The sequence below is a fragment of the Homo sapiens genome, chromosome 21 (genome assembly GCF_000001405.40).
Source record: "Homo sapiens chromosome 21, GRCh38.p14 Primary Assembly".
Classification (NCBI taxonomy): Eukaryota; Metazoa; Chordata; class Mammalia; order Primates; family Hominidae; genus Homo; species Homo sapiens.
In genome coordinates this window covers 38348666-38362243 of record NC_000021.9, presented here as the reverse complement: position 1 = coordinate 38362243, position 13578 = coordinate 38348666, and the positions used below count along the sequence as shown (strand labels likewise).

At 48.5% G+C, this 13578-nt stretch overlaps 1 long non-coding RNA gene across 1 annotated transcript; it reads right to left on the bottom strand.

Moving 5' to 3' along the window:
• Positions 1–6309: 6309 nt before the first annotated feature.
• On the bottom strand, positions 6310–10137 carry LOC107985513 (uncharacterized). The gene is made up of 2 exons (XR_001755040.2): positions 9375–10137; positions 6310–8186 (listed from the first exon to the last, which is right to left on the bottom strand). It is a non-coding gene; the product is annotated as an uncharacterized LOC107985513 (long non-coding RNA).
• Between the last annotated feature and the right edge of the window lie 3441 nt (positions 10138–13578).

Below are 13578 nucleotides of genomic sequence, written 5' to 3'. Positions count from 1 at the left end.
GACCTGCTCTGTGATACCTTTGGTGTCTCCTGGTGTGCTTTACACAAGGACATGGCTGGGTCTGTAGGGCATGGGGGTGGCAGCGTGAGTGGACTGGGGTAAAGTCAAAGTCAACACTTGTCCTTTAACTGGTCACTGGCTAACTGGTCACTGGCTAGGCTAATTCTATGCCTCCTCTGAGGAAAACCTCTGGCATTCTCTTTCCTGGGAAGGCTAGCTTTGCTATGATGATCACCACAATATCTGTGTATGTCTGAGGACTTGAATTCAAGGGCATTAAGTCATCTTCCCAATACTTTTGTGACTTTGCAGTTATTCCAAAATCCCTGTCTCTGGATGGTGTGGCTTTGTTTCTTCTTGCCCAGCTGCCCAAGGTATTCCCTTCTCTTGTTTCTCCCCTCTTTCCTCAATCCCCAACTCCATTCCCTTTCTGGTTCCTCTCCAGTCCCAGAAAAAATTGTCAGGGATAGAGTAGAGATATGTGAACTTACAGAGTTTCTTCCCTGCTCAATAAATCCAAGAGCAGGCAGATAAACTGTCCAAAATATTTCTTGAGAGTTCCAGACATCATGGCATGGATGGAAGTATCCAGGGACTTGAGGTCCCTGTGAGGCTGAAAGCAGCCATGGTGGAATTACCAGGCGGGAGTGTGGCAGGGGAGGGAGTGAAGGGCCACCTTCCTGTTTTCCAGGGATTGCTCTGATGGGTTGAGGGAGAATGATCTGGGTGGGAGGAGTGACTTGCTGTAGGGTGACCTGAGCAGCTCATAATTCTGCAGGCTGATAACTCTTAGAGTGCTGGAGGGAAGTGGAGCCAACAGCCATTAGGGAAGACTGGAGATCATGCTGGGGGAGCATGGTGAACTTGAGGGCAGGGAAGGTGGACATAGAGAGAGAAGAGCCCCAAACAAATCTTATGCCTTTCACAGTAAAATAAAACCTATGGTGACAAAAATCATCTCCTAAAAATTGGTACTGGGGCAAGGCTGGGCCACAAGAAATTGTAATTGGGGAAGATGGGTTACCTTTACGTCAGAAGTGGGGGAAAGTGACAAAGGGGTTGAGTTAGGAGAGGGAAAGGTTGTGTGTCATGGGTGCTAGAAATTTAAGTCGTGGGATTAATGAGAACAAACTGGTCCACAAACCGTGAGTCCAGAGAGGTGCTGCCAAGCAGAGGACAGTGACTGAGGGTGTGCATAATGACAGGGAAGGCTCCTGGATAGAGAAGGGCCACAGTGCTGGGCATGAGCCCAGGCAGGCTGGAGAGTTTGTCCTCTGCCCCCTTCTTGAAGGTGTCATGCTCTCTCACTGTATTAGTCCGTTTTCATGCTGCTGATAAAGACACCCAAGACTGGGTAATTTATAAAAGGAAAAGAGGTTTAATGGATTCACAGTTCCAAGTGGCTGGGGAGGCTTCACAATTATGATGGAAGGCAAAAGGCACATCTTACCTGGCAGCCAGCAAAGACAGAACGAGAGCCAAGCAAAAGGAGTTTCCCCTTATAAAACCAGTAGATCTCGCGAGACTTATTCACCACCACGAGAACTGCCCCCATGATTCAAGTATGTCCCACCTGCCCTCTCCCACAACATGTGGGAATTATGGGAGCTACAATTCAAGATGAGATTTTGGTGGGGACACAGCCAAACCATGTCACTCACCTTCCTTGTATTTGCACACAGGTTCTCTCTCCCTGACATGCACCTGCCTATGCCACCACCAGGTCAGTGCTCACTCGCCCTTTGAGATCTCCATTCTGCACATGCTGGAGTGCCCCAGGTCCTAAGAAGACACCTCTTTCTACACCCTCTCTCTGGTTGATCACGTATAGCCTCATGACTTTTCATACCATTTGCATATATTGAGTTTGCAAATGTGAGACGATGACTCCAAGTTGTACCTGTAGTTGACATTTTCCAGGAACTCCAGCCTCTACCTAGATGTCTAATGAGTATCTCGAACTTAACATATCCCTAAACCAAATCAAACTCTCCCTAATGCCATACATCAAACTCCAATTTGGGTAGCTCTGCTGTTCAGAAAACATTACAAAGTCAACTCACCTCACACCGTTCCAGCAGTGCCTCTGTAGTCTGGTACCCCAAGGGCCCCTGTGTCGGTCAGCACTCTCCACATCTCCAAGGCTTACGACGACAGCCATCTCATTCTCACTCCCACCTCTGTCATGGCTGTGTGCCACGGTGGCAGCCCTGCTCCATAGGCTTTCCCATTCTAGGACCTGGACTGGAGGGTACCCCCTGTTGGAAATGCCTCTTCTCAGAGCAGAGGGAAAAAAGCAAGAGCCAACCAGGCAATGGCCCTCAAAACTTCTGCTCAGATGTGGCCTTTGCTCATGTCCCTCGAGGCAAAGCAAGTCACATGGCCAAATGCGCAGTCAATAAGGTTGGAGGGGTACACTCTGTCCCTGGGAGAGGCAGGCAAGGCCCATGGTAAAGGCAGAGGATGCAGAATCCTGTGACGGCCAAGGAGCAACTCAATCTCCCATCAGTCCTAACTTGTCCCCCTACTTCTACTCTCTCCTCCCTCACCAATTCCATTCTCTACACATCAACTAGAATAATTAAATACATGATTTAAAAACTTCATCTGACCATATCACTCTTCCCTCAGACCCTCCAATGGTTTCAAGTCCACTTGGGGTAAGAGAAAAAGTTGTAATCCTCCTAGTGGCCAACAATGCCCTGCAGAACCTGACTGCACACCAGCCTCTGACGGGTTCTGAGACTCTGTAGCCTCCATGTCCTACCTCATCCACTCCACTCCCAGTACACCGACTGCCCTGCAGACCCGCAAAATCCACTCCTGTCCCAGCACCTTTGCACTTGCTGCTTTCCCTGTCTGGATACTCCACAGCTCACTCCCTCACCCATCACCACCTCAGCCCCACCCTGCTGAGACCTGCAACCCCACCTGGCCCCCAGTGTATCTCCTGCTTCCTCATTTCCTCCATGGCACCCAACCCACCACCACCTTCCCGTGCTTGCAGGTTCACTGCCTCACCAGAAGGAGAGTTCGTCTACAGGTCTGGTGGGGCAGCACTCAGTCTTGATTACATCTGCACCCTCAGAGCTCAGAGCAGGTCTTGCCGCACATCCCTCCCTTGGGTCTTCACTCTCCCATCCCCATGTGATTTGGGTTTCTCCAGGTCTTTGGATATCCCTTCATGCTGATTTCCAGTACACAATTCTCCTCTCACATTATGGTCCCCATCCATCACCTGTGGCTGTTGGCAGTGGCAGACGGAAGGTGTGGATGGCACTGGAGACCTCAGGGTAGCAAAGCCAGGGCAGAGAACAGCTCGAAGTGAGTTGTGGCTCAGCTCACAAAGGTTCTACAGGCCAGAGGCCTCTGCCAATGCCCTCCACACAAGAAGAGCAAACAGGGCAGCCTCAGGGTTATGCAAGAAGCAGGGACCTGGCTCTGCTACTCCAGTACCAGGACCATCCCCTCAAAACAGAGCACAGAGAAATTCCCCTGGGAGGACGTGGGCTGTGTAGATGCTGGCTGGACCCAGGCTCTGCTCAGGCCACAGCAATTTCTGTCCCCCTGCCTAGCACCAGGTGTGATCCACTTCTGAGAGGGCCATGGGAAGACAGTGGAGATGTGTCCCGGCCCTTGCTTTATTCTCTTTCTTAACCCTTTTTACATTCAATTTTTGAATGAATGACATGTTCTCATAATTCAAAAATTTGAAAATATGATATATTATCTCTTGCCTTCCCAGACCCCCTATAATGACTACTAGACCATTCTTTGTGTATCTTTTTAGAGTTTTTTAAATGTATATCCAAGAAAACATGAATATAAACTGCCTTTATTCACATTTTTTGTAATATAGAACGTGCACACTACCATTATGTCTTGCTTTTTCCACTTAATGCTATACATTGGAGACTTTCCACATCTGTTCATAGAAAGCTTCCTGATTCATTTTTCAGAGCTGCATAGTATTCCATTGCTGAATGAACTACATTTTATTTAATTTTCCCCCCATTGATGGACTTTCTGGTTGGCTCCAATCTTTTTATTATACAAATGATACTGCAACAAGGTACCATGGGCATATGTAAGAGAATTAGCAGAAGCCATAAGTGGTCCATTGGTCCATTGGTTCATATTTTTTAACAGGGAACAGTTAAAAAAATTTACTTACAAGTGATTTCCACCCTAAATGCATGTAAATCCTCCTCAGAGCTTCTAAAATCTACAGATGCTCAGACACACCTGAGATAGGGCCCAGGGATTGGTCCTTTTCAAAAGCTCTTCAGGGCATCTAATGCATGGCCGGGGCCAGGCACTGAGAGTGTGAGGAGGAACTGAATTTTAGGAGGAGAGGTGAGGCTGGAGAGAGAGGAAGGGGTTGGGGCTGTCTCTGCTGTGAGGCACTTTCGAAAGATAAGTGGGCAAAGAGTTTCTTTTTTAGTAAATTTAGCTGTGATGTGACAGGGTGCTTTCTCCCCACCTCCCTTCAAGTGGCAATTAATCAAGGCCTGCATTACTTGGTAAGGGGTGTGGACCTACTCTGAGGTCTTTCAGCTGTATAACTCTGTGGGACAGGCCTAAAGGGGCACCCATATTTATTTCCTCGGGTAAACACATGTTGTCGACTTATGGGGTCTCCACACAGGTGTGTGAGGCCTATGCTGTTAGAAGCTTTATTCTGTAGATGGAGATGCCAGGGCACAGAGGGTTTAAGTAGCCTGCCTAGGGTCACACAGCTCAGCAGTGCAAGACTGACATGCAGGCCTAAAAGGTGAGGTTTCCCGCCAGCTGATGTCCTTCCCTGTGACTATCAGGACTTGCAGACTTTGGGCACTTTGTAAGTGTCGTTTGTCTGTTGCCTTCATCTTTCTAAATCCTTTTCTATCCCTGGCCCCCTGGAACTTCTTTCACATCAGCTTTCCCGAGGGTAAACCATGTCTAGGGTGAAGTGTTTTCATGGCATCCTTTTCTTTTTCTGGGAAAGGTGCAGGGAGCACTTCAGGATGCACCGTCAAAACCCTCCCCCCGCCGCCATTCCACCAACCCCCACCAGGAAGGCCTCAGAAGCCTGGTGTGCAGCAGCCCCCGCTAGGAACACAGGAGGGTGCAACCCGAACCAGCGCCTCCCAGATAAGGGCCTGGCAGGCAGGGACTGGGCAAGTAACCATCCTACCTCATATAGAGGCATCCTGGGGGCTTCCATTGTTCGCTCTCCTGGGAACGCCCAGGGCTGCAGCCTTATCTGCTGCTGGCACAAGAGGCATCTTTTCTTATTGAATCGGGAACAGGATCTTGATAAGGCAGCCTTGGCCATCAGGGATCATCAGTTTTAACGTTCCTTTCTCACTCTGGAATAGAGCAAGATTTGTGGAGGCTGTGTGCTATGAGCAGGCAGGGAGGCTCAGCTTCCCCAACCCACCCAGGAGCCTGGAGAGAGGTCTCAAGACTGAGCCTGTGGGTGCACCCTTCCCTTGTTGAATATCACTGTATGTATGTGTGTGTGTGTGTGACCATGTGTCTGCCTGTCCGTGTGTGTGTGTATCTCTGGTGTGAGTCCCTGTGTGTAAATGTTTCTATGTGCATCTCTGTGTATGTGTTTGTGGCCCTGTGTCTGCCTGTCCGTGTGTGTCTGTGTATGTATCTCTGGTGTGTGTCCCTGTGTGTATATGTTTCTGTGTGTATCTCTGTGTATGTGTTTGTGGCCCTGTGTCTGCCTGTCCGTGTGTGTGTGTGTGTGTATCTCTGGTGTGTGTCCCTGTGTGTCTATGTTTCTATGTGCATCTCTGTGTATATGCTATTGTGTGTTTTGTGGGTTGCAGTCTCAGAGCTCTAATTCCTTTGAAACAGCCTTTCAATCCCTTTAGGTGGGGAAAAGTTTGGAGTTGTTAACCCCGTTTTACCGGAGAAGGTCCACTAAAGAAGAACCAACGTCAGAAGCTTTTCTAAAAAGACACCCTGAGCCCAAAGAGTTCCTGGCTCCAGAGGAACTCCCGCCCAGGAGGAGATGGGCACGAATCCCACGGCCCACGAGGTGGCGCTAGAGCCTCACGCACCTGCCCCTGCGGAGGGAGCACGGAGTCCGCACTCATTACCTCTCTGGTATTTTACTGCCAAGGCTGCGTTTATCACTCTAGAGTAACTCAGAGGCCAATTGTGGCACCGCACGGAACTCCCCAAGGGCCATAGCCTCGTTTTGTGGACGCTGAGACTCAGGACCTGCTAGGGTCTGGGCAAAGGGGGCTCAGTACATTGGTTGCGATGACCAAAAATAAGCAGAACCGTGATCACTTTGATGACAATATATTCTAGAGTTTCTTAAAAAGTATTTTTAATATTGTTTTGCTTTCCACAAGTTGGGTGCAGTACAATTGAAGAAGGGGATTCTGAGGCCTTTCATCTGTCAGAGTTAGCGTAGGGCTGGCTGTGGAGCTGGAAGTGGGGCATCTGTCACAGAACCCCCCGAAAGCTGTTGAGACTTGGGAAGAAGATTGGGACAAATGAGTTTCATGGGCTCCTGCTGCTGGCTGGAGCCTGTGTCCCCAGGTCCAGGCCTAAGGAGGAGAGGACTTCAGAACTGACCACCTTCAAGTCTCCTGCTGGCGGGAGCTTCCATGTCTCTCTCGGGGACCCAGTGTCCCCACAGGCTGGCCTGGCACAGGCCTCATGGCTGTGGGCTGGTGCTGGCACCCACTCCTGCCTGCCTCGCTCCTGCTTTTCACCTGTCCCCATGCCCATGAAAGGGTCAGCATCCACAGCTGCAGCCACCAAGCCCAACCTCTGGGACAAAGACGTGTCTTGGTTTTGGCCTTTGGGGCTGGGCAGCCCAGGTGTTGTCACTCAGACTGTTCAAGGACCTCTAGGGCTCCCCTTTCCCACTGTGGCCAAGAAGACCTACATTTCAGGGCCCAGCACAGCAGACACTTTCACCTTCTAAGCCTCTCATAACCAGCTTCAGCCAAAATGACCCCTGTCCACCCCAGCCTCCTCTTCTGCATTTTCCAACTTGCCTGGCATCTCCAGGACCCGGGAACCTTAGCACATCTCTACCTGCCTGCCTACAACGTCCCCAAGATGCGGGACAGTGGCCCCTTGCCACCCCTTAAATTCTCTCTTGCCCCCAAGGCACCTGGGACAAACCTTGTTCTTAAGAAGAGTAGAACAAATATTCATAAAATGAATTAATGTCCAAGCTCTTTCTTTCCCTATAGAGTCCTTGCTTCTCTGCCTCTCTCCCTTCTTCTCTCTCTCTTTCTGTCTCTGTCTGTTTCTCTCACCCTCCATCCTTATCTAAAGCTGGCAGAAAAAGAGACTTTATTTAAACCCAGGGGCAGGAACTTGATAAGGCAGCTTTAACCATCAAGGATCATTACTTTTAATATTTCTCCCACACTCCGCAGTAGATCTGAGCCAAAAGATGGAGAAAGGATTCCCCTGCTCTGGAATATGGGAAGATTTGGGGAAGCCAGTGTGCAGAGGACAGGCTTCCACCACGAACCTGGACAGGGCCTGGAAAGAGATCTTGGGACTAAATGTGTAGGTACACACTTCTCCTGTTAAATGCTTCTGGGAGAGTGTGTGTGTGTGTGTGTGTTTTGTTTGCTGCAATATCATATTGCAGTTCATATTGATGGGAGAAGTTTGCAGTTGGTCCCCCACTTAACTGGAGAGTGACCTCCAAAGAAGAGCCACTGTGAGAGACTTTGGAGCAGCAGATCTACAGATGGCCCTTGGGGTGTGGGGACACCACAGTTATTGAAACACAGAGCCTCCTGCAGACTGCACCGGCTGCGCCCTCCAGGGCCCAGGCTTGGTCCCTCTTCCCATGGTGCATGGGAATCTCTCCACACACAGGGCTGTGCTGCTCTACTGAGTCAGCGTAGAGTGCTTGATGGCACGAGGAGAGCGGGGCCGGCCAACGTCATTGGATGAAGGCTTCAGTCGTGTTTCCACAAAACATAGACGTGTTCTCCTTTGTCGATCCTCAGTAAGGGCACACCAATGTGATTTCTGTTATTAATATATGCTCTTCAGTTATTCACAAAAGGTGATGTGTCCCAGCACTATTACCATCTGTGAAGGCTTGTTTTGCTTTCTATCTCTTAATCAGATGTCCTCAAGTTCAAAGAAGCAGTTTATTATACATGTTTGGTCATTGATGCAACCACCGAAGACATCATTGCTTTCTAGTGAAGGGAAGCGTCATTCCTTTTTAGTGAAAAATCATTAAATTTGGAGTCAGAGTCCCCACCGCTCTCACTAAGAACCTGTTTCCATGTGTTTGTGTGTGAGACACTCATTGATTACTTCAGCTCCTTCTCAGATAGAGTTCAGAAAAGCACCTCAGATTTAATGAGGAAAATGCAGGCATATGAACTCCTAATGGAGTAAGGAGAAGATGAGAGACCATTGTGCTTCTCAGGTGACCAGAAACTCCTGTTATTTTAGTGTAATACTGTCAGCCTCCCATTTGTTCACTCCAAGATCATTTATTAAAGAAGATGGAGAAGGAAAGCAACTTGAGCTGAGCACTTTCAAGGGGGCGGGTGCTTGCTGCATGCAGGCTGGGGTCTGAGATGGATGGAGCTAGTCCCTGCCCCCTAGGAGCACAAAACTGAGTGCAGCAGCTCTAAAAATCAGGCCCCCAGACCACCTGCATCTGAATCACGGGGTTTGTGTGCTAACAATGTGCATTTGTGAGTGTGGCCTAGATTTATGCTGCCTTTACTGCCCATGCTACAGAAACACCGCCTGGTGGGTAACCTGGACAAGTCAAGTGAAATCCTAGCCCAGCGTCGTAAGTGGTGTGTAAGGGAACAGCCACTGAAAACCAAGATGATGGCAAACACTTGCTCATGATCTGTCACAGGCCTGCACCGAGTGCTGCAGGTGTGAACTCCTGTAATGCTGCAACAACCATTCTAGGTGGTGTCTGCTGTCAGCCTCATTTTGTGGGTGGGGAAACTGAGGCACAGAGAGGTCAAGTAACTTTCCAAGGTCACACAGTTGGAAGGCTGAGGGGATGCTAAACACAGTGGTCTAGCTTCAGAGTCCAGGATCTTGAGTGCTAGGCTACCCGGCCTCTGCTGGGGTGTTAGAAGGAAGACCCTCTGTGTTAGAAGGATAACTAACCACTTAGAAAATTCAGTCTTTGAAGGTTTGGCTTGAGTTGTAGATTTACAAACTGGGACTGAAATTTGGAAATACTGGACCCGATGAAATTAGAGAGAAAGAATGGTTTGATTGGAAGAGAGACAAACAAAGGTATGCAGGACCTTTATAAGGAAATAAGTAAGAATGTTTCCCTTGGAAGAAGCCCTGGGGTTCCAGTCTGAAACTACAGTTGAAAGAAGGAGAGGACCAGCTGAACCTACCTGGGGCCCCATGGATGCTTCTTCAGCCCAAGGAAACAATTTCATGCTCCTCCAAGAGATGGCGCTGGCGTTTCTGAAACCAGAATGGGCATCTCTCATTCCAAAGCTCCGCAGAAGTCTTTGGGCTCCTATTTTGTTTGTATGATTGCTTCAAACTTGGAAAACCTTTACCTCTGTTCCACCATAGTAGGGAAAATACACTCCTCTGCTGGTATTAGGTTGACCAGGCAACTGGCCATAATCAAAGCTTTTAAAGCTAAGTGTCTATAGATCTGTAGGCAGGAACTGAGAAAGAGAACTCATTCCGGTTGAGTATCCACCAGGTGAGGAGTTGCACAAACCCCTAATCTTCTCGACCATGATTCTGTTGAATAGGTTATTATTTTTTTAATCCTGAAATCAAGGCTCTGAGTGGTGAGACTGCTTGCCAAGCGACATGGCCCATGCATGCTGGAGCTGGGATGGAAACCCGGGCAGATCTGATGCCTCTGCCAACTCCGTTTCCACCACACCACTCTGCCTTAGAGGATTGTAAAGATGTCTGTGCCTATGAGACGAGCCATCAGTTATCATGTACTCTGAATATAATGCGCCCCCACACCAAAAAAGGGAAGTTGTTAAATTCCAGGTGCTAATTTGTTTTCTTAGTATTTGCTTTTCTCCTGAAGGTGGAAGCCAATCCGATTAATTGAGGGCTTCAATTAGTTGCGTGCAGGCTAGCTCTAGGGTTTCGTGTGCTTCCTGCTCCAAATTGCTGTGTGACGAATCACTCACAATCCACACAGCTTAATATCCCTTACAGGAACAGTCAGTGAGGACTTCCTTTTTAGGAAATGAAAAGCAAACAGAAAGGTCTTTTATTTCAAGGTTCTTGAATTTCTCACCCTCTGGTCCTACTTTACATCTTCAAAGCTTAAGTGTGAAACAAAGGAAAAGTAGAAGAAAAGATGTGTAACAGGAGGACCAGAGTTAAGAGACTCACAGAATCATTCTCTCTCCCTCCCTCTGTCCCTCTCCCATTCTCTTTCTTTCATTCCTCTCTCCTAACCTCCTGTTCTTCCTTCCTTTCTCTTTCTCCTTCCCTCCCTTCCTCCCTTCCTTCCTTCCTTCTTTCCTTTCCTGCCTTCCTTCCTTCCCTTTCTCTCTCTCTCTCTCCCCCTGTCCTTCCTTCTCCTTTCTCTTCCCTTCCTTTCCCTCCCTTCCCTTCTTTCTTTTCCCTCAGTATGGGGTGAGGAAGGATTAGTTACAGCCAGCAGAGGCTATGGAAGCCAAAGCTTCTCCGATTTATACGTGCACATGCGATCACTCCAGGATCTGGAAAAGATACAGACTCTGAGTCGTGGGTCTGAGGTGAGCCTGAGCTTCAGCATTTCCAGCAAGCCTGGGACATGCTGGGCAGCAAGCCTCATGGAGGCGTCAAGGAATACAGCGCCGAGCATCAGCCGAGCCTGGTCTTGCTCTGATGAGGCCCAACGGGGGCTGGTGACGGCAATGAGGAGGCCCGGCCCTTGCGAGCAGCCAGCAGCGCCAGGACCAGCTGTCCTGAAATCTGCAGGCTTGCATCTTGGCTCTTGGGGATCTTTTGAGCTCAACAGGCTCCCATGAAGTCCAGGGAAAGGGACTGAGGAGGTGGAGAGGGAGAGATGAAGACACGGAGGGCATCGTGTTGGGCGTCCCTGTGAATGGTGGAGGAGAGAGAGGTGATGGGATGTGCCCCTTTCAGGCTGGACCCACCCAGCCCCTCTGAGCTTCAGAATCCTCCAAACAGAGAATCAGAAAACACCCCAGATGTGAGATTAGGGTTTTCCAAAGTGTGGTGCAGCTACAAAGGCAGCCCAGTCTGAGTTTCCAGGGATGGGACCGCTTGCTATGCTGCCCAGGCAATTCTGACCCACAGCAAAGTTAGATAACCACATCACCACAGCGCTCTCCAGCCTTGAAGGCTTCTCCTTCCCAGTGAGCTGAACTCTCTTCCCTACAGATGTCTCAATAGGCTTGGGGGAGGGGCTGCTGTACCCAGTCCTTCTCTCTCTCCAGAGGAACTGGAGGCCACTTAAACCTGGTCCCATAGCTGCCAAGAGTGGGGCCAGGACAGAGTCCAGATGGGTGGCCTGCCCCCTCTGCACAGCCACCTCCTTCTCCTCTTGCCCTCGGCAATGCCCTGCTCAGCAACCTACTGCTTCCCTCTCAGGCATTTGCTCAAGTCTGTATCTCTTGCCTCCTATCCCAGTATTTCCAACCCACCTGTGTAATGCATTCCTCACCTGACAGCACACTGAACTTTCCGATCAGATCCCTGACTGCCTCTGCCTCCACGCACACATTTTCTTTGGTTCCCAGCTACTACAGAGAAAAGCCCCACTCGTTACTTCTGAAGAAACTCGGCAATTTGTCAGTGGCTTACTTGCCACCACTCCGCTCCGCATTTCCCAAGCTTCAGCCATGCTGACCACCCCATTTTCCTCATTTCCAGCTTCCTCAGTTTGCTTATACTTGGAAACTCATCTTTCTAGAGCTCCTTAGCCCTCTGCTTCTCCCTGCCAAAATCTTTCCCATCCTTGTAGGCCCTGCATAAATACTCTTTTTCTCTAGTGACTTCTGTGAAGTAACCACTCCCTCCTTGGACTGCCTGTGACATTACAAATGCCACTGTGTAGCTGGAAAGCTCTTTGCGTCATTCAGAAGTGGGGTCTTATTCATCTTGAAATGCCCAGAGCCTAGCCCAGTGCCGGGCACTTTGCAGATGTGCAACACTTATTGACTGGCTGAGAGAGTGAATGAATTATTGAATGAATGACTGTGTACACATGGCCCACCCTAACCATTTGAGCTCCATGATCCCCAGGAATTTAGGATCTTCTACTGATTGATGAAGGCAATTAAGCAGAATTTTTGTGTCTTTAGCCCAAAAGGTATAAACAAATATTGTTTGCCCTCTGTTTATCTTTCCCTGAATAGATAGTTGGTAGCAGAAACGTGACATCATAAAGGCTAACCACAAAGATACACCGGAGAAAAACTGATTCTGTTGGTCAAACAACTAAAATTGTCTGTGTCTTAGAATTTGTGAATATTATTTATTGGATTTATTCAAAGATAATGGAAACTGTTTGTGCTCTTATACTATGAACTGTGATTCTAAAACCATTTTCAAAGTCAAGTCAAGTAGTTTAGATTTTGGTTGACTGACCTTATTAAAAGAGTATGAAAATAAATCTTTTGAGATTCACTAGGATAGACGTCAGAGAGACCTGAGATGCGTTAGTCTCTAGGGAGTGTGGGCAACAAATTAGATGAAGTAGGTTATCTTATTTCATCTTGGAGTCTAGCCAGGCTCCCGAAATAAGATCGTCCCCACCTTCCACTTAAGTAACTAAACACATGCTCCAGCCATGGAATTACCCAGATCACTGATGCAGTGATGTTTTCTTGGCTCCAGCCTTTTAGATCAGTTGTCCACTCTGCCCGTGTTCCCCAGGTAATTCGCAAACACTGTTCCACTTTGCTTCCTGTAACTATAGCCAGAGACATGTGGAACAGTCAAGAGAGTCACTATTTCCATCACTGTTCATGAGCAATTTTCTTACTTAAACCACATCGCTCCAACCCTCCCCTCAGAAAACAACCCAAACCGAGAATATGTTTTCTTAAGAAACCTCAGTCAAATATCTCGGCTAGTTTTCCATTTTCTTTTAGCAGATTCCAGGAAACGGGGGTGTAGGGGTGCCTTAGGAAGCCCCAACTTCTGAGATTCCAGACAGGACCCTCCCATCCCCATCCTGAGAAAGGTTAGCTAGGGGTCAGGTGTGTGTGTTTTGTTGCGTTTTCTCTTTCTCCTAGTACAAGCAAAAGGATAAGTTCAGGTTTTTCTGCTTTATTCTCTCAAGAAATGATTGCTTAAAAAAAAAGATGGTCACACGTGAGGTTTTCCTTTCTCTTAGGTACAGATGGTGACAATTACTGGGACACTTAGCTACTTGTTTCTATGCAGTGCTGGAACCTCAGTGAATCTTAGCAAAGACCCTGCACTCTTTCCTGTGAGCAGCTGCTGCCAGGGACTAGAGAGAAATGAGGCGAGACCTGTCTGTTTCACAGAGTCTCCATTCCCCAGGAAATCCTTCCCCAAATCACTCATGATTGTGCTCGCCAAGGCTTCATAAACAAAGACATTTTCCCTACCAAGACCTGCAGTATGTAGGAATCC